The 24,900-nt window shown below is 40.8% G+C and overlaps 1 protein-coding gene across 1 annotated transcript in view; it reads left to right on the forward strand.

The window, feature by feature from the left end:
* Positions 1-24,900, forward strand: part of RP2 (RP2 activator of ARL3 GTPase) — a 45,316-nt gene that overhangs the window by 9,962 nt on the left and 10,454 nt on the right. Inside the window, exons 2-3 of the mRNA NM_006915.3 lie at positions 6,472-7,137; positions 12,984-13,098. Of these exons, the coding sequence (NP_008846.2) occupies positions 6,472-7,137; positions 12,984-13,098 (781 nt within the window). The remainder of the gene's footprint in view (positions 1-6,471; positions 7,138-12,983; positions 13,099-24,900) is intronic.

Raw genomic sequence — 24,900 nt, forward strand, 5'->3', positions numbered from 1 at the left:
AGCTGTGAGCTACTGCACCTCGCCTAGCTTTAAAAAAAAATGTTTAGCCATTCTAATAGGTGTGTAGTGATGTTTCATTGTAGTTTAACTTGCATTTCCCAAATGACTTGTATTTACCTAAATGTTGAGCATTTTTCATGTACTTATTTGCCATCCATATATCTTTGGTAAAATGTTTATTCAAATCATTTGCCCATTTTTTTATTGGGTTATTTGTTTTCTTATTATTGAGTTTTTCAGAGCTCTTTATATGTCCTGGATACAAGTCCCCTGTTATATATATGTTTTGCAAATACTTTTTTCCCAGTTAATAACTTGCCTTCTCTTAAGAGTGTCTTTTGAAGAGCAAACATTTTCAATTTGAGTAAAAGTCCAATTTCCACTCACTTTTTCTTTTGTGGATTGTGTTTTTGGTTTCACATCTAGGAATTTTTTTTCTTTTTCTGAGACGGAGTCTTGCTGTGTCGCCAGGTTGGAGTACAGTGGCGCGATCTCGGTTCACTGCACTATATGTATATGTATGTATGTATGTATGTATATACACATACACCATATATATGTGTGTATATATATACATACATATACAAAACAATTGCTTACTAGATGCACAAATCAATGGAATAGAGAGTTCATAAACAGGCATATCTCTCTTTACATATATATATCTATATCGATCACACTATATATATGTGTGTGTGTATATATACACACATATATGTGTGTGTGTATATACACACATATGTGTGTGTGTATATACACACATGTGTGTGTGTACATACACACATGTGTGTGTGTATATATATACACACATATATGTGTATATGTGTATATATGTGTGTATATATGTGTATATATGTGTGTGTATATATATACACGCATATATATGCGTATATACATATATATGGACTCATATATGTGTATATACATATATATATATATATATATATATATATGGACTCACAGTGTGTCCTTGGACAAGTTATATAGTCTCTGTGTGCCTCAATTTTCTCAAGTATAAAACAGAGATAATTATAGTACACAACCCTTATGGGGTTTTTATGGATTGAGTGAATGATTATAGAGCACTTAGTATGGTGCCTGGTACATATATAGTGCTTCTTATACTCCTGAATCTTTTTACTTCTATTCAGACTGGATTTTCATTGGAATTAACAAATCCCATTATTTTATCTCACATTATCATTATGGAAATTTAACTGTGGAGATGAATTTTAATGAAAAATTTGTATTGCCGCTTAGTAAGATAATAAGATGTTCATTTTTGTTTTCTGTTAGGAAAATAATGCTTAACTTGGTTTAATAGCTGTAGGACATTAAATTGATATCAGACGAATTACAACTCTTGAAATTTTTCTTTGATTTTTTTTTTTTTTTTTGAGACAGAATTTGGCTCTTGTCTTCCACGCTGCAGTGCAGTGGTGCGATCTCGGCTCACTGCAACTCTGCCTCCTGGGTTCAAGCGATTCTCCTGCCTCAGCCTCCCAAGTAGCTGGAATTACAGGCGCCCACCACCATGCCCAGCTAAGTTTTGTATTTTTAGTAGAGACGGGGTTTCACCATGTTGGCCAGGCTGGTCTGGAACTCCTGACCTCAGGTGATCCACCCGCCTCGGCCTCCCAATGTGCTGGGATTACAGGCGTGAGCCACCACGCCTGGCCACTTTCCTTGATTTTTTAAAGTATATCCATTACCTTTTAAGGATTGTAGTAAGAAATAGTCTAGGCCAGACACGGTGGCGCATGCCTGTAATTCCAGCACTTTGGGAGGCTGAGGTGGGTGGATCGCTTGAGTCCAGGAGTTCGAGACCAGCCTGGACAACATGGCGAAACCCCATCTCTACAGAAAATACAAAAATTAGTTGTGCATGGTGGTGTGCACTTGTAGTCCCAGCTACTCAGGAGACTGAGGCGGGGAGGATTGCTTGAACGGTGGAGGTCGAGGCTGCAGTGAGCTGTGAGTGTGCCACTGCACTCCAACCTGGGCAACAGAGTGAGACCCTGTGTCAGAAAAAAAAAATACAGTCTAAACTAAACTCACTTCATAAGTGGCTCTTAGGAAAAAATAATTTAAAACATGACCTTTCCATGTTTGTGATTCTAGACACTTTATTTCAGAACTAGTAACCTGCAAAATTACGAAGGATTTCAGTTTCAGTTGTTTATTATTACTTTTTTTTTTTTAAAGTGTCAGGGTCTTGCTTTGTCACCCAGGCTGGAGTGCAGTGGCATGATCATGGCTCACTGCAGCCTTGAACTCCCAGGCACAAGCAGTCCTCCTGCCTCAGCCTTCTGAGTAGCTAGGACTACAGGCGCACACCACCATGCCCAGCTAAGGGTTTTTGTGTTTTTTTACCCCCCTTCCACCAACTCACTTCAAATAATCTGCTAAGTTTTAAAAAACTTTTTTAGAGCTAGGGGAGTGTCACTGTGTCACCCAGGCCAGTCTCAAACTCCTAGTCTCACTAGGCCACTGGCCCACTCTCAAGTAGCTGGGATTACAGATGTGAGCCACTGTGTCTAGCTCCTAATGCTTTTTGTTTTGAAAAACTTTCAGGAATTGTTGAGAAAGTACAGCAACATAAATCTTAAATTTCTCCTTGGAAGGCCGTGCTGACAATCCAACTAATTTTATACTACAGAACTATTTAGCTATAAAATCTTTAGCTATCAGATTAATTTCTCCCTATGAGCTAGGAAAAGTGGAGCGTCCAGAGAAAATACTTAGGGTAGTAAATTACATTTAACTCCTCAGCATTGGCAGCTGTTATGGACTGAATGTTTGTCAAATTCATATGTTGAAGCCCTACCCCCCTACACATGGCTGTATTTGGAGATGGGACCTCTAAGGAAGTAATTAAGGTTAAGTGAGGTCATAAAGGTAGAGTGCTGATCTGATAGGATTAGTGTCCTTATAAGAAGATTCAGTTAGCTTGCACTTGCTCCCTCCCTCTCCTTCACACAGAGGACAGGTCTGGTGATGACATAGCAAGAGGTTGGCTTTTGCAGTCTGAGCAGACTAAAACAGGCTGCCATAACAAAATACCACAGACTGGTGGCTTAAATAACAGAAGTTTATTTCTCACAGCTCTAGAGCCTGGGAAGTCCAAGATCAAGGTGCTAGCAGATTCAGTGTCTGGTGAGGGCTCTCTTCCTGGCTTACAGACAGCTGCCTTCTTGCTGTGTCCTCACATGGCCTTTCCTCTGTGATTCATCCTTCTGCCTTACCTCCTACAGCCATTGAATTACCAGTCTGCTGATTCTGTTTCCTCAGTATTTCTCAAATTCATCCCATCTTCTTCTTCCCTACTAATTACAGCTCTGGTTCCAGCCCTTTCTGTATGACTACAATAGTCTCTCCGATCAATCCATGTTGCATGTGTCCTTATCTCATCAGAGTAATTATCCTGACATGTAAATTTTGCTTATTTAAATCTTTCTGTGGTTCCCTCTTGTCTGTGGATAACTTCTAAGCTTTATATAATACGGTTTCTGCCTACCTCTGTAGCTTCATCTACTAGCATTCTGATAGCATGTGTAACACCAAACTACTTTCAGTTTTCCTCCTACTCCCTGAAGAATTTTACTTTGTTCCGTCTGTTACTTTTGCCTGGCATGGGAAGGGAGGGTCCTTTATTCCTACCCCTTTTACCTAATGAGCTCTAGCTTATCCATTCTCATGTTTTGCAGAACTTCCGCCCCACTTCTCTTCCCCGCCCCAGATGTCCCTTCTCTGTCCCCTCCAAAATATTCTCAGCATCTCTCATTACATGGTCAAGTTGTTTTTAGTTTAGATGAATGTTTACTTTTATGGAAAGAGCTGGTCCTATTCATTTTAGTGCCTAAAACAATGTCTGGCTCATACTGGGTATTCAAATATTGGTAGAGTGACTGAACATCCAGAAAGTTAAGGGGATTTTTTCAAGATCCGGTTGCTTATAGGGGACAAAATTGGGACTGGAAAATGAGTACTTCTTTTATTGCCTCATACTGCAGACCAGTGTTCCTCCTAGTACAGCATGTAAAACTGGCTAAGTACAATATCTATTGTGCAATTACTAAGTCAATTTAAGCTCATTTGCTAATCATTAAGATGATTAAATTTTGCTTTGTAAATCAAATTTTTACATATTGTATATATGGGAGCCTATGGTGCATGAATGGTTTTGCATGAAGTTTATATAGTCACAAACAGTTAAAACAGTTGAAGTAGATAAGAAAGTCACATGGAAGAAACAAAAATAGGCTTTTAGTGACCATATTTTGATAGGTCAGGTAAAATAAAAAAAATTAATGTGACATTTTCCAGGCATACTGTTTAAAAGATTATGTGGGCCGGGCTCGGTGGCTCACACCTGTAATCCCAGCACTTTGGGAGGCCAAGGCAGGCAGATCATCCAAGGTCAGGAGTTTAAGACCAGCCCGGCTAACATGGTGAAACCCCATCTCTACTAAAAATACAACATTAGCTGGGCATGGTTGCACACGCCTGTAATCCCAGCTACTCAGGAGGCTGAGGCAGGAGAATCACTTGAACCCGGGAGGTGGAGGTTGCAGTGAGCCAAGATTGCGCCATTGCACTCCAGCCTGGGTGACAAGAGTGAAACTCCATCTCAAAAAAAGAAAAAGGCCGGGCACGGTGGCTCACGCCTGTAATCCCAGCACTTTGGGAGGCCGAGGCAGGTGGATCACAAAGCCAGGAGATCGAGACCATCCTGGCTAACATGGTGAAACCCCATCTGTACTAAAAATACAAAAACAGGGGCCAGGCGTGGTGGCTCACGCCTGTAATCCCAGCATTTTGGGAGGCTGAGGCGGGCAGATCACGAGGTCAGGAGATCAAGACCATCCTGGGTAACACAGTGAAACCCCATCTCTACTAAAAAATACAAAAAATTAGCCAGGCATGGTGGCGGGTGCCTGTAGTCCCAGCAACTCGGGAGGCTGAGACAGGAGAGAGCCGAGTTCATGCCACTGCACTCCAGCCTGGGCAACAGGGCGAGACTCCATCTCAGAAAAAAAAATACAAAAACAAAATTAGCCGGGTGTGGTGGCAGGCACCTGTGGTCCCAGCTACTTGGGAGGCTGAGGCGGAGAATGGCCTGAACCCAGGAGGTGGAGCTTGCAGTGAGCTGAGATTGCGCCATTGCATTCCAGCCTGGGCGACAGAGCGAGACTCCGTCTCGAAAGAGAGAGAGAGAAAGGAGGGAGGGAAGGAAGGGAAGGAAGAGAGGAAGGGAGGGAGGGAGGAAGGAAGGAAGGAAGTAGCGAAGGAAGAAAGGAGCGAAAGAAGGAGTGAAGGAAGGAGCGAGCTATAGTTTGGAAGATCTAAGAATAGAAATGGCCAAATTTGAAAAATTGCGTTGTAGCTTAATAAATGCTTGAATCAAATTTGCTTGCATTTACATATTGTGATTCTTGTGCCTTCAGGTTCTTCTGTTTTCTGTAGCATATTGCAGAAATCAGTTGGGGTTTAGAAACTGAGACCATACATTGATTTGAAAAAGGATAGAGAAATATATTTCAGTCTGGGTACATTCCCAATTTCAGAATTTTATTTTATTATTATTATTATTTTTGGGACAGAGTCTCACTGTGTCCCCCAGGCTGGAGTGCAGTGGTGCGATCTCGGCTCACTGCAACCTCCACCTCCGAGGCTCAAGCTATTCTTGTGCCTCAGCCTCCCGAGTAGCTGGGATTACAGACATGCGCCACCACGCCTGGGTAATTTTTGTATTTTTAATAGAGACGGGGTTTCGCCATGTTGGCCAGGCTGGTCTCGAACTCCTGGTCTCATCTGATCCTCCCACCTCGGCCTCCCAAAGTGCTGGGATTAAAAGCAAGAGCCACTGCACCCAGCCTCAGATTTTTTTAGAAATTAGAAGTTTTAAAAATGAAGCATCAAAAAAGAAAAAGTATCAGAAAGCTGAAATAGCAAGGTCATGGTTAAGATCATTAGATACATAGGATATGAGTTGAATTTTTCATAGCGCTTTTATTAAAACAATCATTTAAAAATATATTTTTGACCCTGGTACTCTACAAAGCTTAGTACATTTTTTACTTTTATAAATTCCAAATAGGCTAAAAGCCTACTGACAATATTGACAGTAGCAATGATGATGTAGGTGTCACTTGGGTTAAGTCATGGGAAAACTCAAACCATAGTGTCACAGAGGCTACCCTTTAGCTTTGCATGCCCAGAACACAATTTAATAGCAAAGAGAGGGGATCTGTCTTCTGGGAGGTGTGTATGTTGACTAAGATCATAGGTTTTATATTATTATTGAGAGAAACAATTTGTCCTGTTCATTTTGTTACTGTGTTTCAAAGTCATTGAGATTAAGAATTTATATTTCAGCACTAAGAACTGTGCCTGGCAGCCAATAGTCCTTTAGTTGATACTTGTTGAATAATGTTAATAATACTCAAGGTCTGTGTTTTGTTCCTGCAGGTTGATCCAAAAGACTACATGTTCAGTGGACTGAAGGATGAAACAGTAGGTCGCTTACCTGGGACGGTAGCAGGACAACAGTTTCTCATTCAAGACTGTGAGAACTGTAACATCTATATTTTTGATCACTCTGCTACAGTTACCATTGATGACTGTACTAACTGCATAATTTTTCTGGGACCCGTGAAAGGCAGCGTGTTTTTCCGGAATTGCAGAGATTGCAAGTGCACATTAGCCTGCCAACAATTTCGTGTGCGAGATTGTAGAAAGCTGGAAGTCTTTTTGTGTTGTGCCACTCAACCCATCATTGAGTCTTCCTCAAATATCAAATTTGGATGTTTTCAATGGTACTATCCTGAATTAGCTTTCCAGTTCAAAGATGCAGGGCTAAGTATCTTCAACAATACATGGAGTAACATTCATGACTTTACACCTGTGTCAGGAGAACTCAACTGGAGCCTTCTTCCAGAAGATGCTGTGGTTCAGGACTATGTTCCTATACCTACTACCGAAGAGCTCAAAGCTGTTCGTGTTTCCACAGAAGCCAATAGAAGCATTGTTCCAATATCCCGGGGTCAGAGACAGAAGAGCAGCGATGAATCATGCTTAGTGGTATTATTTGCTGGTGATTACACTATTGCAAATGCCAGAAAACTAATTGATGAGGTAAGGAGAAAGAGAAGAGAAATAGTCATACACCTAGATTTAAAAATGTACCACTCTGGAGTACTTCCATTCTTTTCAAATTGGCTATTGGAAATACAGGCAACCCTCAAGTTATAGTCCTTTGCCACCACCCCCTCTCCCAACAGACTCATCTGTAAGTAGATTGCTTGGGCCTCAAAATACTTTCTCAAAGAAACTTTTAAAAAATATAATTCAATTCAGTAAGCATTAAGCATTTGTTTGTAAGTAGATTGCTTGGGCCTCAAAATACTTTCCCAAAGAAACTTTAAAAAAATATAATTCAAATCAGTAAGCATTAAGCACCTATTATGTGCTAGTTACTGTTATCATATTTCACTGATGATAGGATGCCTATTTGTTTTCCATGATTTTGCTTATCTGGAATGCATCTTATAATTGATAGCAACTCAGAAATGATGAACTATAGTGTATGCTGGAGATGAAGATACATAGACAAAATTCTCTGCCCTTAAAGAGTTTCCATTATACTAGATGATTTCCAGAGAAGCTCACAAAAGTAGTACTGCTTAGTAAAGCATGACATTTTATAATTATTTAGTGGGGAAATTTCTTTAGAGTTCTAATTGGTTAGGGGGTAAGAAAATGCAATTTTTTTTTTTTGTGACGGGGTCTTGCTCTGTCACCCAGCCGGAGTGCAGTGGTGCGATCTCGGCTCACCGCAACTTCTGCCTCCTGGGTTCAAGCAATTCTCCTGCCTCAGCCTCCCAAGTAGCTGGAACTATAGGTGGGCGCCACCACACCCAGCTAATTTTTTTTGTATTGTTAGTAGAGACGGGGTTTCACCACGTTGGCCAGGATGGTCTCGATCTTTTGACCTCATGATCCACCTGCCTAAGCCTCCCAAAGTGCTGGGATTACAGGCATGAGCCACTGCACCCAGCCAAAAGTACATTTAGGAATACAACTTTTGGACCCTGTTGTGACTGTGAGAGCAACCTCCACATTACGTTCCTTATTTTCCTTTATTGCCATAGAAGGGAGCTTGATGCAGAAGAGTGAGATGGAAGCTAGGTTGGCAAAGCTCATAGGCTCATGAACAGTGGGTCTTGGTGAGCTCATGAATAGAGAAGGCTTTTTGGGGTAGCAGCTTCTGCTTGAAAAATAATTGGAGATACAGAGGTTAGGGGCTCCAGAAGCAGCAGTTCCTTAGTTGGTGGGTGCTCCAGTGGGAAGGCAGCAGTAGGATGTATTGATTATCCATTAATCAGGTTCCTTCAGGAGGAATCTGTTTGAATTTAAAAACCAAACTTAAAGACATAGAGAAGTGAATGGAAAACTCATCAAGTCTCTTTTTATTTTTTTGAGACGGAGTCTCACTTTGTCTCCCAGGCTGGAGTGCAGTGGCGCGATCTCAGCTCACTGCAACCTCTGCCTCCCGGGTTTAAGCGATTCTCCTGCCTCAGCCTCCCGAGTAGCTGGGATTACAGATGCCTGCCACCATGCCCGCTAATTTTTGTATTTTTAGTAGAGACAGGGTTTTGCCATGTTGGTTAGGCTGGTCTCGAACTCCTGACCTCAAGCAGTCCACCCGCCTCGGCCTCCCAAAGTGCTGGGATTATAGGCGAGAGCCACCACGCTCGGCCGGAAAACTCATCAAGTCTCTTTTTGAATGGATTTTTTTTTTTTAAGTTGGAACATATCAAAAGGAATGATTTTAGGAAAATACTAAAAATGAATACCTCTCAATAGCTATATATTCCACAATGTAGAAAACCCATGTAGAAATGTCTGAAATCCACAAAGTATATCTGAGGTATAGTTTTTAAACCAACAGAAGCCAAAGTTTAATTTTAAGACTTTTATATTTTCTCTTTTGCTTATGCCTATGTGATAAAAACATTCCATGAATCTGGTAAGATACAGAAAAATGTGCTTCTGGCTTTTGAGCTATCTGATCACATGTTAATCCAACATCTGAGAGGTAAATGCTTTCATTATGCAGTATGGTGATTTAAAAAAAAACTACAAACAGTTTTCAAAATATGTAATTATTTAGGTTAAACTCCTTTTTCATAGGTAATGAGGAGTGGACATAAAGAATATTTAGCATGTTTAAAGAAAAAGCCATCAAAACAGTGTTTCTTCATGAATCACCAAATGTTCTTAACCTTTTAACCTTTGGTATCTGGTATGTGAAATGGCAGTGTTGTGTGCCCTTGAAAAGAATATGACCAGGAAGAATGATATTCTTTAGATATCCTCTGGAATACAATATAAACAATCCCACAGCGATAATAATAACTAACACTTACATAGTGTTTACTATATGCCAGGCACTATTGTAAGGAATTTAAATGAATTAACTCAATACTCAAAACAACTCTATGAAATAGGTGCTATTATTCCCCATTTTACAGATATGAAAAATAGACCATAAAGAGGGTAAGTACCTTGCAAAAGGTCATTCAGCTGGAAAAAGCAGAGCCATGATTCCAATCCAGGCAGTCTGGCTGTGTAGGCCACACCTTAACCCTTAAACATGATGCTGTTATGCTCCCTCAGTGGTAAAGGAAAGTTGCTGAATGCCTGGTGGAGCAGGAATGTGACTGAAAGCATGTGGACTCTAGGGCCTTCCAGTCTAGGGACTATTTGGCTATAGTTATCCTATCTTATTCTGAAAGTACAGAATTAAGGAATGAAGAGAACAAACAAAAATAAAAAATAAAATACCAAGTACATGTGAAGAGGGTATCAAAACATGCTGAAAGACAAAAGACTTATATATTATATTGAGAGATTACATTTTTTAAAAAATGAGATGAGTTCGCAGGGAAATATGTATAGAAGCTAGTGAATCTTGAGATGAAAAAAATAAAACTTGAGTCTTTCTCATGTCATAACACAAATGTCTTAGGACAGCTTAGACTGAAACTATGATTGCTAACTCTATATTTGTTAAACCCCAGGAGGATTACAGAATTTTGTTTCACATTGTTTTAATGCATTAAATAATGATTTTTTTTTTTTCGCAATAGGAAGTATACAATTTGAGAGAGGTTAGGAAGTCCAAAAAGGCTGGGTAAAGCAAAAAGACATTCCATAGGGAGCCAAGAGAAGTTACTAGACTTTGGTTTTCTCACCTAAAAATCAGATTCCAGCCGGGCGCAGTGGCTCACGCCTGTAATCCCAGCACTTTGGGAGGCCGAGGCGGGTGGATCACGAGGTCAGGAGTTCAAGACCAGCCTGGCCAAGATGGTGAAACCCCGTCTGTACTAAAAATACAAAAATTAGCCAGGCGTGGTGGTGGGTGCTTGTAATCCCAGCTACTCGGGAGGCTGTGGCAGGGAATTGCCTGAACCCACGAGGCGGAGGTTGCAGTGAGCTGAGATCCCACCACTGCACTCCAGCCTGGGCGAGAGGGCAAGACTCCGTCTCAAAAACAAACAAACAATAAAAATTGTTTTTCTTTCCTCGACTTCTCTTACCTACATCACAGATATGTACAGGATAAAATAGAGTAAAATAGTTTGAGAGTACTTCATCATCTGAAATTGAAGTTGGGTAGTTACCACTATTTTCAAGTCTTTAAAAGTAGAATTTTCATGAAAAGGAGTCTCTTCAAATATCTGCAGTGAAATATTAAAATATAGTTTATTATTTAGGTAACATTATTTTGAAGTAATCATCATAATCTCATCAGTTTGTGTTTATAAAATCAGAGATGATAAGCACTCTAGAAAATAAGAGAGGTAGAATTGTTTCTGATATTTTTATTTTACAGTCATCTGGCAGTGATGTCCATGTAATTCTCTACAATTTTTAAATGTATGTTTCTTTTTTTGGAGGCAGCATTGAATGAGGGTTCTGAAATAGGATTTGAGTTTAATAAAATTCGATGGAATGGTATGGAATAATGTAGCCATAGGATGAAATACTATCAGCCATTAAAACTGACTTTATGTAGAAAATGTCACAATTAAGTAAGTGAAAATTTGTAGAATATTAGGTAAGTAACTGATTTTTTTAAGTAGGTAAGTCTGGAAAGTTATAGATACTTAAATGTTAACAGGCATGCTTATTCTTAGGCAGTTGATTAACAGCAGGGTTTTCTTTTTTTGTAGTTCTATGGATTTAACAGTGAGCATATATTATTTCTGTAATGGGAGAAAAAGAAAACTGGGAGGGTATACCTGTATGGCAGTAGCATCTTTTAGTTGCAGCACCCTGGTTGATATTTCTTCATTTCTATTTTTTATTTTTCAAATGTTCTGTGTTGAGAATATATGTTACTTTTAATTATTAAAAACCTAACAAGCTTTGCTAAAAATTAAGTGGTTGGAATATGACTACATTTTTTTTTTTTTAAAGACAAGGTTTTGCTCTATTGTCCAGGCTGGAGTGCAGTGGTGAGATCATAGCTCAGTGTAGCCTCTAACTCCTGGGCTTAAGGGATCCTCCCACCTCAGCCTCCTGAGTAGCTAGGACTACAGGCACACACCACCACACCTGGCTAATTTTAAATTTTTTTTTATAAAGATGGGGTCTTGCTGTGTTGCCCAGGCTGGTCTCAAACTCCTGGTCTCAAGCAGTCCTCCCACCTTGGCCTCTCAGAGTGCTTGGGATGCATGTGTGAGCCATGATGCTGGGCTGACTGCATTTTTAAAAACTACTTTCATAATTACTTTAAAAATTAATATGCCCTCATTGTGGAGAATTATAGAAATAAGAAAGAGTAAAATAAGTTTAAAATCAATACATAATTGTACCATACCTTGAATAATCTTTTTAGGAATCATTTTTAAATTTATTTAGTCTGTAATTAGATTAACTAGGTTTGAATCACAGCTCTGTCACTTAATTGTTGAATGTCCTTGGGCAAGTTCCTTAATCACTGTGCGCCTTAGTTTTCATATCTGTACAATGAGGGTAATGATACCTACTTCGTGAGAGGGTTAAATATATATATGTAAAGTACATAAAACTGCCTGCCACATGGTAAGTGCTCCATAAGTGTGATCTACCATTATTGTGCTATACTATATAAATTTGTATCATGCCTTTTAAAATTAACATTATTGGCCAGGTACAGTGGCTCATGCTTATAATTCCAGCATCTTGGGTGGCTGAGGCAGGAGGATGGCTTGAGCCCAGGAGTTCAAGATCAGCCTGGCAACATGGCAAGAACCTGTTTCTACAAAAAAAATTTTAAAAATTAGCCAGGCATGGTGGCACGAGCTTGTAGTCCCAGCTAGCTGCCTGGGAGGCTGAGGTGGGAGAATCGTTTGAACCCAGGCGTTTGAGGCTGCAGTGAGCTATGATTGCACCACTACATTCCAGCCAGGGCAACAGAGTGACACCCTATCTCAAAAAAAAAAAAAAAGAAAGAAAAATAAACAAATAAAAGTAAAATTAACATTATTACATAAGCTTTTCCTCATTTTATTATAACATCTTTGTTGTATTTAATGAACTGTGATAAATGTAATGAACTGTGGCATTTCATCATGTGACTGTACCATAATTTACTTAACCATTCTCTTCTTATTGGACATTTGCAGTATCACCAAACTAAAACTTCCATCTGGTTGTAGAAAAATTTTAATCATGTTTTAAACTTGAGAGATAATTCACATTTATTTGACCCTTAACCTTAACTGCAGTACTAAACCAGAACCACCCATCTGTAAGAAAGAATCTCATATAGTGAGAACTTATTATAGCAAACACCCTGAATTAGACTTATAATTAAAACAAAAATCAGTGTGCTGTTGTTGCATTTTATACAGAGAAATACTAGAATAGGAAATCATTGTTTTAGTCTCAGAAGTTCATTTTAAAATCTCAATGAAATTTTATTTTCACAGATGGTTGGTAAAGGCTTTTTCCTAGTTCAGACAAAGGAAGTGTCCATGAAAGCTGAGGATGCTCAAAGGGTTTTTCGGGAAAAAGCACCTGACTTCCTTCCTCTTCTGAACAAAGGTACCTTCTGGATGATTGGTATACTTTTGTGGATATTTTCTTTACATGCTGATTTGATTTACTTTTGCCTTTAACATTTGTTTTACATTGCCTTCTCTTTCTCATTTGTTCTTTGTTTTTTTTCTATTATTGTTCTGAAATGTCAAAATTTCACATCACTCAAGGAGCCCTAGACAACTAACTAGAAATTAGGCATTCTTTTTTTTTCCCTATCCTCTGTTCTTAGTACTGAAAGTCACATTTTATTATGTATCTTATTATCATTTTAATTGTTGTATTATTGTTGTACCTTTATAGTGTAGTGATAAATATTTCATGCTCCCTGCTCAGAGTTGCAAAGCACTTGATGAAGATTCTTTCTACCTTCAGTGTGCTTTAATCATACTGGAAAAGAAATAAGAAATATAAAGTGGTATACTATTTTATGTATTTAATATGATTGATTAACTTCCATGTATAATTAGAATTGTTTTCCCTAGTGGGTAAATGCCACCAATAAATTTCAGATACTGGATATAGGTCTTCAAAGAGAGGAACTTGAGTATGTGTGCCCACTTGAAGGGTTACTGTCTGCCTACCTGTATTTGAAGGTGTATTGATTCTAGAGGACAGAGTACTCTTTATCTGTTCAGAGTGGGGCCATTGTTTGCTCAAGGCTCATCAGGCTTTCCTTGACTGGCCTGAGCAAATATGTATAGTAATACGCAGTGTTGATTGGGTATTCCCTAGAGAGAGGGCACATCTGCATTTTATGTGCTCTTTATGTATAAAAATATTATAATAAACTGCAAAAATCTGTATGCAAATGTTAGAGGAATGTTAGGATAATAAGTAATGCTGGGTGTAACTCAGCTGGTAAGTATTAATGCAGTATTTGATAATACTTCTGTGGTTACTGTAGTGGTAGCAAGGACTTGCTGTGACCCACTGCATGAATCTACCCCAGAATATATGTAGGAAATTCTGACCTGGCCCCTTTGATGCAACCATTTTGACATGGGAACATTTGGAAGCTTGAAAATGAATGTTTAACTTCTTAGCAGCTTTTGGAAATTGAATCAGGTAATAAGTGTATTGGACATCCTAAAGTGTGAGAGTTAGGAATAAAGTGAGCATATCGGTAGAGCTAAATTAATGATTTATGTACCTGTGTGATGTTAGTGAAGTCGTATTGTAGAATTGCTCCAACCCAAATATAATATCTGCATTTAAGTAACAGAACATTCCACATGGAAGAAGTAAAATGTTCTATTGCTGCAAAAAGTAGAACTAAAACCAATAAGCAGATGTTGCAGGAATTTCAGCAAATAAATATTATATAAACAAGTCTTAAAAACAAGAGATGCCTATAGGAAGTATTCAAAGACTGATGAGTTCATATCAAAAGATCTTAGGAGCCAGCTTGAAGGAGTTTCCATGGGCCAAATTTGGGACAATTTAACAATTAAAAGGAATACTGGGACTGGATGTAGTGCCGAACCCCTGTAATCCCAGCATTTTGGGAGGGTGAAGTGGAAGGATTGCTTAAGGCCAGGAGTTTGAAACCCATCTGGGCAACGTTGCAAGACCTTGTCACTACAAAAAATACAAAAATTAGCTAGGGGTGATGCATACCTGTAGTCCCAGCTACTCAGGAGCTGAGGTGGGAGGGTTGCTTGAGCCCAGGAGCTTGAGGCTGCAGTGAGTTATGCTCATGCCACTGCACTGCAGCCTGGGCAACAGAGCAAGACCTTGTCTCAAAAAAAGAGAAGAATGAAGGTAATGATTTAACAACAGAAATCTATGCATCCATATTGTTAAACAAAAAGGGGAGAGAAGAAAAGAATGTTCATCTGCTGTTTATGGAATATTGTGAGCTAAAAAATGCAGAAGGAATGCTGGACTTTGGAAATCACCATTTCCAACCCCAATGTAATAATTATTTCAGACAAAGATTATCAGTGGGTGCTAAAACTATTGGGGTAAAAGTTGCTAAGAAGTAGGATATTTGGCTGGGCGTAGTGGCTCATACCTGTAATCCCAACACTTTGGGAGGCTGAGGCGGGTAGATCACGAGGTCAGGAGTTCAAGACCAGCCTGGCCAACATGGTGAAACCCTGTCTCTACTAAAAATACAAAAATTAGCCGGGTGTGATGGCGGTTGCCTGTAATCACAGCTACTAGGGAGGCTGAGGCAGATAATTGCTTGAACCTGGGAGGCGGAGGTTGCAGTGAGCCAAGATCGCTGCTGCACTCCAGCCTGGGCAAAAGAGCAAGACTCTGTCTCAAAAAAAAATGGCCGGGTGTGGTGGCTCACGCCTGTAATCCCAACACTTTGGGAGGCCAAGGCGGGCAGATCACAAGGTCAGGAGATCAAGACCATCCTGGCTAACACGGTGAAACCCCGTCTCTACTAAAAATACAAAAAATTAGCCGGGCGTGGTGGCGGGCGCCTGTAGTCCCAGCTACTCAGGAGGCTGAGGCAGGAGAATGGCGTGAACCCGGGAGGTGGAGCTTGCAGTGAGCCAAGATCGCGCCACTGCACTCCAGCCTGGGCGACAGAGCAAGACTCTGTCTCAAAAAAACAAACAAACAAACAAACAAAAAAACCCAACAGGATATTTATACATCCTAATTCAAAGGGGAAGTGTACCTTTACAGCAGAGATTTGGTGATCACCATGTTAACCCAGTGATCAAACAGCATCATTGATGGACAGCCTAACGTGTTATTTGTGATGTGATGCATTGAAAAATACACAACATCATATGTAGAGTGTTCTTGCCAAAGTAACCTGAATCTAATTGAGCCAAGACTTAACTTGTAGTTTGTAGTGTAGGAAGAAAAGAAATATGTTAAATGACACCATAAGGAAATAAGACAAATCCAAAATAGAAGACATTCTACAAGACAACTGGCTAGGTCTCTTCAGACAGTATAATGGAAAACAAAAAATATGGGGGAATTATTCTGGATTAAGAGACTAAAGAGATATAACAACTAAATGCAATGAGTGAACCTTGATTGGATCTTAGGTTGGGTTGGAGTGAGCTGTAAAAAGCATTTTTGGGACAAGTGGGGAAGTTTGAAGATGAGATAGAATTATCGTTGATCCTTTGGTATAATAATGGTGGTGTGGTTATGCAGGAGATACATGCTGAAGTGTTCTTATGTCTGCTACTTTCAAATGACTCAGCAAAACAAAGCATATATGTGCAGATAGATGGTGTTTATTTTGTAATAAAGCAAATGGGGACAAATGTTAACTTTTGGTGGGTGTAGGTGAAGGGCAAATGCATATTTATGCTATTCTTTCAATTCTTCTATAATGTATAGAAATTTTCAAAATAAAAAGTTGGGGAAAACTTTTAAGCTGCTCAGCAGTGCGCTGATTCCTGTGGAATACTGAGTAGGCTGGCAGTGGAGATATTCTAGCAGGAGTTGGATGGACTGGGCCCTTATCTAAAAGTGGCCATCAGTCATTCTAAGGCAGGGTTTCTCAACTGTGGCACTACAGACATTTTAGGCCAGGTAATTCTTTGTTATGAGAGGCTGTCCTATACCTTACAAGATGTTTGGCAGCATCTCTGGCCTCTACCTATTAGATGCCAATAAAACACCACCCCAGTTGTGGCAACGAAAAATGTTTCCAGATGTCCCCAGGGGTGTGGGAGGGAGGCAAAATTGCTCCCAGTTGAGAATCACTGTACTGAACTAAGGGTGGTCTTATTTATTTATTTCTTTTGAGAATTCACATGTATCTTAAATAGTTTGCACCTCAGAGTCTCTCAATTTTCCTCTTCAGTTGCAATAGTCACATTTATTTTTAATATTTAATAAAGCTATTTGACTGCTTAATAAGAGAATTCATTGTTTTCCATCATGAGGATCTCCAAATCTGACTAATCCTCAGAACCATCCAGGGTGCTTTTAAAAATGTAAATTTTCAGCCAGGCACGGTGGCTCACACCTGTAATTCCAGCACTTTGGGAGGCTGAGGCAGGCGGATCACTTGAGCCTAGGAGTTCAAGACCAGCCTGGGCAACATGGCAAAACCCTGTCTCTACAAAAATTAGCTGGGTGTGATGGTGTGCACCTGTAGTCCCAGCTACTTGGAGGCTGAGGTGGGAGGATCACCTGAGCCCAGGGAGGTTGAGGCTGCAGTGACCCATGATCGTGCCACTGCACTCGAGCTTGGGCAGCAGAGCGAGACCTTGTCTCAAATACATAAATACATAAACAAATTTTCCTTCCTTCCTTCCTTTCTTTTTTTTTTTTTTTTTGAGACAGGGTCTCACTGTGTTGTCCAGGCTAGAGTGCAGTGCTGCAATCTCGGCTCACTGCAAACCCTGTCTTCGGGGCTCAAGCAATCCTCCCACCTCTGACTCCGGAGCTCGAGCAATCCTCCCACCTCTGACTCCTGGGCTCAAGCGATCCATTCACCTCAGCCTCCTGGGTAGCTGGGACTACAGGCGTGCACCACCATACCCAGCTAATTTTTGTATTTTTTGTAGAGATGGCATTTTGCCATGTTGCCCAGGCTAGTCTCAAGCTCCTGGGCTCATGTGATGCGTCCGCCTCAGCCTCCTAAAGTGCTGAGATTATAGGCATAAGCCACCAAGCCCAGCCAATAAACAAATTTTCTACTCCCACCCCAGAAAGCCTGATTCAGAAATCTTTGAGATGTACCCTTGGAATGTTCCTTTTTTGATAGTTCTCCAGATTAGTCAGACTTGGGTTCTTTTGTTTTAGGGAGTAATTCATTCAATTATTCAACAAACATAGTAGATGAGGTCTGAGAAGTAGAGAGAGAGATAATGAAGGGCCTTGTAGGCCACTGTAGAGACTTTGGCTTCTATAGTAGTCTGAGTGAGATGAGATGCTACTGGACATTTGTGGGCTTTTTTAAAATAAACTTTTTATATTGGAATGATTTTAGGTTTACAGAAAAATTGCAAAGATAGTACAGAAAGTTTCTGTATATCCCTTACCCAGCTTCCCTAAATGTTAACATAACCATAGTACATTTGTCAAAGCTAAGAAATTTACATTGGTAAAATGCTAACTTAAACTACAGACTTTATTCAAATTTTACCAGTTTTTCAACTTATGTCCTTTTTCAGTTCCAGAATTCAATCCAAGATCCCACATTGCTTTTTGTTGCCATGTCTCCTTAATTTCCTGTGACAGATGTGACATTTCTTCAGTCTTCCTTGTTTCTCATAATCTTGAAACTTTTGAATAGTAGTGGTCAATTATTTTGTAGAATGTTCCTCAATTTATGTTTATCTGACATTTTCCTCTGGTTAGACTAGGGTTATGGGTTTTTAGGAAGAGGAAGTGCCCTTCTCATCACGACATCACAGGGCACATGATGTCAATATGAGGTGATATCTGCCAGATTTCTCTGCCGTAAAGTTTCCATGTTTCCCTTTCCATACTCCATTCTTTGAAAATGAGTCACTAAGATCAACACACAATCAAGGAGAGGAGAATTAAGCTCTACCATCGGGAGACAGGAATATCCACATACATTATTTGGAATTCTGTAAGAAACATTTGTCCTGGCTGGGTGTGGTGGCTCACGCCTATAATCCCAGCACTTTGGGAGGCTGAGGCAGGCGGATCACGAGGTCAAGAGATCGAGACCATCCTGGCCAACATGGTGAAACCCCATCTCTACTAAAAATACATAAATTAGCTGGATGTGGTGGCGCATGCCTGTAGTCCCAGCTACTCGGGAGGCTGAGGCAGGAGAATCACTTGAACCTGGGAGGCGGAGATTGCAGTGAGCCAAGATTGCCACCGCAGTCCAGCCTGGGCGACAGAGTGAGACTCTGTCTCAAAAAAAAAAAAAAGATTTGTCCCTTCTCCCCATTTATTCAATCATTTATTTCTCATGGGTGTGTATTTTGTTCTTTTAAGTTATAATCCAATACTATCAAATTGTTCTGGTTTTAACCATCTGGAGCTCTTTTAGGTTGGCTTTTTTGTCCCTTTGACATGCCCCATCCTTTTGAATTTTGAACACTTCCTTACTTCCTGGCCCTACAAGATGCTCCAGGCTCATCCTGTATTTTTCCTTGCTCCAGAACTAGTATCAACCATTTCTCCAAGGAACGCTGGTTTCTTTTATTCTAGAATGATAGTTAGAAACCATGATCTGGGTGCTAGGTGTGCCCTTTACTAATGGGGTACCACTGGTTCTAGGCCCTTTCAACAGACAAAGGTAAAAAATACATGTATGACTATTAACCTGTATATACACACACATCTATAATCCTGTATCTATCTATCTATCTATTAAAATACCTCTGACCCTAATCCAGCACCACAGGGTTCATTCTAGCATCCCTTCCCTTGCTTTTTTGTGACTTCTTACTCTGAAAGTGAGAAACCTGGCTTCCATTATGTCCATTTTATTCACTTATTTGTTTAACCCTAGTATAAATATAATATATTTTTAGAATTACTAACCCATACCCCTGTGAGAAACTTATTTGCCAACTAGAGTGCAGTTGGTATTGTACAGTCTTGTCTTTAGCCTTACAGTAGCCACTCAAAACAGTTTTCCAAAGTCCTGAGGTTAGCTCCTTTTTCCCTTATCCCCTTCATTGAAGTATTGGCACACATTTCTAATACTGTTAGATTCATTTGTTACAAGCTTCATTCCATCCTTGGATACTGTGACATCTTGGTTAATTTTTTAAAATTTGCATACAGTAACATTCAGTTGGCATGAGTTTTGATGAGTGCATAAAGTCCACCACCCCACTTATCACCCCAGTACCATGGAAAACAGTTCTCCCTAAAAATTTCCCTTGTGTGGCCCCTTTAGTCAGTCAACCACAACTCCTGGCAACTGATTTGTCTCCTGTCCCTATGATTTTGTCTTTTCCAGAGTGTACCATAAATGGAATCATACAACATGTAGCCTTTTGGGTCTGGCTTCATTTATTAAAATGCATTTGTGATTCAGTCTTCTTGCTAGGTGACTCAATAACTTGTTCCTTTTTTTTTCTTTTGTCTTTTTTTTTGACAAGGAGTCTCGCTCTGTTGCCCAGGCTGGAGTGCAATGGCGTGATCTTGGCTCACTGCAACCTCCACCTCCTGGGTTCAAGCGATTCTCCTGCCTCAGCTTCCCGAGTAGCGGGGATTACAGATGCCTGCCACCACGCCCGACTAATTTTTGTATTTTTAGTAGAGATGGCGTTTCACCATGCTGGCCAGGCTGGTCTCGAACTCCCGACCTCAGGCGATCCGCCCGCCTCGGCCTCCCAAAGTGCTGGGATTACAGGCGTGAGCCACCGCTCCTAGCCAACTTGTTCCTTTTTATTGCTGAATAGTATTCCTTGTATTGATGTACCAGTTTGTTTTTCCATTCAATTGTTGGACATCCTGCTTGTTTCCAGTTTTGCCAATTATGAATAAAGCCAGTATAAACATTTGTGTGTAAGTTTTTTTATTAAGGTAAAATATACATACATAATTTACCACCTTTACCATTTTTAAGTATACAGTTCAGTGGTAATACATTTACATTCTCTTTTTTTCTCCACATTCCCCCCCACCCCACTGTCCCCTTTTCCAGCCTCTGATAACCACCAGTCTACTCTCTATCTTCATGAGATCCACTTTTTTTAGCCCCCACATATGAGTGAGAGCATGTGATATTTGTCTTTCTGTGCTTGGCTTATTTCACTTAACTAGTGGTCCCTAGTTCCATCCATGTTGCTGCAAATGACAGGATTTCATTCCTTTTATGGCTGACTAATATTCCATTGTATAAGGGTAACACATTTTCTTTATCCATTTATCTGTTGATGGGCAATTAGGCCGATTTCATATTTTGACAATTATGAATAGTGCTGCAGTGATCATGAGTGCAACTATCTCTTTGACATACTGATTTCCTTGCTTTTGGATCTATACCCAGTTGTGGAATTGCTGGATCATGTTGTAGTTCTATTTTTAGTTTTTTGAGGGACCTGCATTGTATATAGGTTTTTGAGTGTACATAACTTTTCAAGTCACTTGGGTAATTTGCTAGCATTTGCTATTGTCAGTTTTCCAATAGGTGTGTCATGATATCTCATTGTGTTTTTTAAATCAACTTTTAATTTTGAAACAATTTTAGATTCACAGGGAATTTGTCAAGATAGGCCAGGCGTGGTGGCTCATGCCTGTAATCCCAACACTTTGGGAGGCCGAGGCAGGAGGATTGCTTGAGCCCAGGAGTTCGAAACCAGCCTAGGCAACATAATGAGACTTTGTCTCTACAAAAAGAAAAAAAAAATGAGCCGAGCATGGTGTCATGCGCCTGTAGCCCCAGCTACTCTGGAGGCTGATCTCAGGAGCAAGGCAAAGATGCCTTCCATCACTATTCTGCAAGTGTTCAGTCTCACCCTTAGGAATGATGTAGGCCGGGCGCAGTGGCTCACACCTGTAATCCCAGCACTTTAGGAGGCCAAGGTGGGTGGATCACTTGAGGCCAGAAGTTCGAGACCAGCCTGCCAACATGATGAAACCCGGGTCTCTACTAAAAATACAAAAAATTAGCCGGGCGTGGTGGCACTTGTCTGTAATCCCAGCTATTTGGGAGGCTGAGGCAGGAGAATCGCTTGAGCCCGGCAGGTGGAGGTTGCAGTGAGCCAAGATCGCGCCACTGCACTCCAGCCTAGGAGACAGGGCGATACTCCATCTCAAAAAAAAAAAAAAAAAAGAATGTCAGTGGCCAGGCGCAGTGGCTCATGCCTGTAGTCCCAGCACTTAGGGAGGCTGAGGCAGGTGGATCACTTGAGCCCAGGAGTTTGAGACCAGCGTGGGCAACAAGGCAAAGCCTCATCTCTACAAAAAAATACAAAAATTAGTTGGGTGTGTGATGGTGCGTGCCTGTAGTCCCAGCTACTTGGGAGACTGAGGTGGGAGGATCACTTGAGCCTGGGAGGCAGAGGTTGCAGTTAGCTGAGATCACATCACTGCACTCCAGCCTTGGGGGGAGTGACCCAAGGAGATCCTGTCTCAAAACAACAAAAACATCGATGTCAGGTTTAGGCACAGTTGCTTATGCCTGTAATCCCAGCAATTTGGGAGGCCAAGGCAGGAAGATTGCTTGAAGCAAAGAGTTCAAGACCAGCCTGAACAACAAAGTGAGACCCCCATCTCTTAAAAAAATTAAATTAAAAATTTTAAAAGGAATTATGTCAGTTGTAGTTTTTCTTTTTTTTTTTTTTTAAGACGGAGTTTTGCTCTTTGTTGCCCAGGCTGGACTGCGATGGCGCGATCTTGGCTCACCGCAACCTCTGCCTCCCAGGTTCAAGTGATTCTCCTGCCTCAGCCTCTTGAGTAGCTGGGATTACAGGCACGCCACCACGCCCGGCTAATTTTGTATTTTTAATGAAGACGGGGTTTCTCCATGTTGGTCAGGCTGGTCTCGGTGATCCGCCCACCTCGGCCTCCCAAAGCGCTGGGATTACAGGCGTGAGCTACCGTGCCCGGCCGTCAGTTGTAGGTTTTCATACATACTTTTTTTTTTTTTTTTTTTTGAGGCAGAGTTTTGCTCTTGTTGCCCAGGCTGGAGTGCAATGGTGTGATCTCGGCTCACCGCAACCCCCGCCTCCCGGGTTCAGGTGATTCTCCTGCCTCAGCCTCCTGAGTAGCTGAGATTACAGGCATGTGCCACCACGCCCGGCTAATTTTGTATTTTTAGTAGAGATGGGGTTTCTCCATGTTGGTCAGGCTGGTCTCAAACTCCTGACCTCAGGTGATCCGCCTGCCTCGGCCTCCCAAAGTGCTGGGATTACAGGCGTGAGCCACCGCGCCTGGTGCAATACATAACTTTGTTTAATGTGTGTTTAAAGATACCTTATTTAGCATATACTGTTGATTCGTTAACATTGAACTCACAGCCAACAGCACTAGAACTGATGCTGGAGCAAAGCTTATCTAACACATTTTCTCATGAGGCACATCACAACTTTCCTCAGTTTAGGAGCCATTAGACAGCACTTCAGCACTGTGTTTGGGGGCTATTTTATTTTTTTGGAGACAGGGTCTTGCTCTGTCAGCCAGGGTAGAGTGCAGTGGTATGACCATAGCTCACTGTAACCTCAAACTCATGGGCTCAGGTGATCCTCCCACCTCAGACTCGCAAGGAGCTAGGACTACAGGTTCACTCCACCATGCCCAGCTATTTTTTTTTTAACATAAAAGAGACAGGGTCTTGCTTTGTTGCCCAGGCTGGTCTTGAACTGCTGGGCTCAGGTGATCCACCCAACTTGGCCTCCCAAAGTGCTGGGATTACAGGTATGAGCCACCACGCCCAGCCCCCAGCTATTTTTTTAAACAATGTTGTAGAGTTGGGGTCTTGCCATGTTACCCAGGCTGATCTTGAACTTCTGGCCTCAAGCAATCCTCCCTCCTCAGCCTCCCAAAGTGCTGGGATTACAGGCATGAGCCACTGTGCCTGGCCTAGGGGATATTTTAAACAGGTAAAATCACCAACAAAAAGCACAAAAATGTGAAAAATACGGCACTACCTAGACCTCACAAAGGACACTTTCTTATACTACAATAGCTGAAACAGGCAGAGTATCACCTTGTTCAGCCTCAGCTGGGAGCATGCACATCAGGCAATTCTAATTTTTTGCCACTGTGCATGTCCACAAATAACCATGAAAGCACTGCAAGCATTGATTTGGGGAGTTAGAAATGAATTTTAGCAAGTAGGTAAATTTGAAATGAAGGGATCTGCATATAATGAGGATTGACTATATCTGTTATTTAATGTTACAATTTTTCCTTTAAGCACTGCTTTAGCACATCTCACAAATTTTGATATGTTGTATTTTCATTTTTATTTAATTCAGAGTTTGGCAAATTATGGCCCACTGCCTGCTTTAATAAGTGAAGTCTTATTGGAGCACAGCCACGCTCATTCCTTTTTTTTTTTTTTTTTTTTTTTTTTGTGAGATGGAGTTTTGCTCTCGTCACCCAGGCTGGAGTGCAGTGGCACACTGCAACCTCCGCCTCCCGGGTTCAAGCAATTGTCCTGCCTCAGCCTCCCGAGTAGCTGGGATTACAGGTGCCCGCCACCACGCCCGGCTAATATTTGTATTTTCAGTAGAGATGGGGTTTCACCATGTTGGCCAGGCTAGTCTCAAACTCCTGACATCAGGTGATCTGCCCGCCTCAGCCTCCCAAAGTGCTGGGATTACAGGTGCGAGCCACCACACCCGGCCACTCATTCTTTTATCTATTACATTATGGTGCACAAAGCCTGAAATATTTCCTGTCTGGCCCTTTACAGAAAAAGTATGTTGACCACTGATTTAGTTAAAACTATTTTTTAGTTTCCCTTGAGACCTCACTTGATCCACGGATTATTTAGAAGTATAATTGTTTAATTTCCAAACATTTGGGGATTGCCCAAGTGTATTTCTATTATTGATTTCTAAATCCTGTTATGGTCCAAGAATACACATTTGTATGATTTCTGTTTTTTATATTAAAATGTATTTTATGGCACAGAATATGGCTTATCTTGGTGAATATTCTATGTGCATCTGAGAAGAATGTGTAATCTGCTGTTGCTTGGTTGAATTTTCTATAAATGTCCACTAGGTCAAGTTGGTTGATAGTGCTATTCAGGTTATCTGTATCCTTGCTGATTTTCTGCCTACTTGTTCCATAAATCAATGAGAGAGGAGTGTTGAAGCCTCCAACTGTAATTTTGGATTTGTCTGTTTCTCTTTTCAGATCCTGTCAGGTTTTGTCTCATGTATTTTGAAGCTCTGTTATTATGTGCATACACATTTAGGATTG

The sequence above is a fragment of the Homo sapiens genome, chromosome X, assembly GCF_000001405.40.
Source record: "Homo sapiens chromosome X, GRCh38.p14 Primary Assembly".
NCBI lineage: Eukaryota > Metazoa > Chordata > Mammalia > Primates > Hominidae > Homo > Homo sapiens.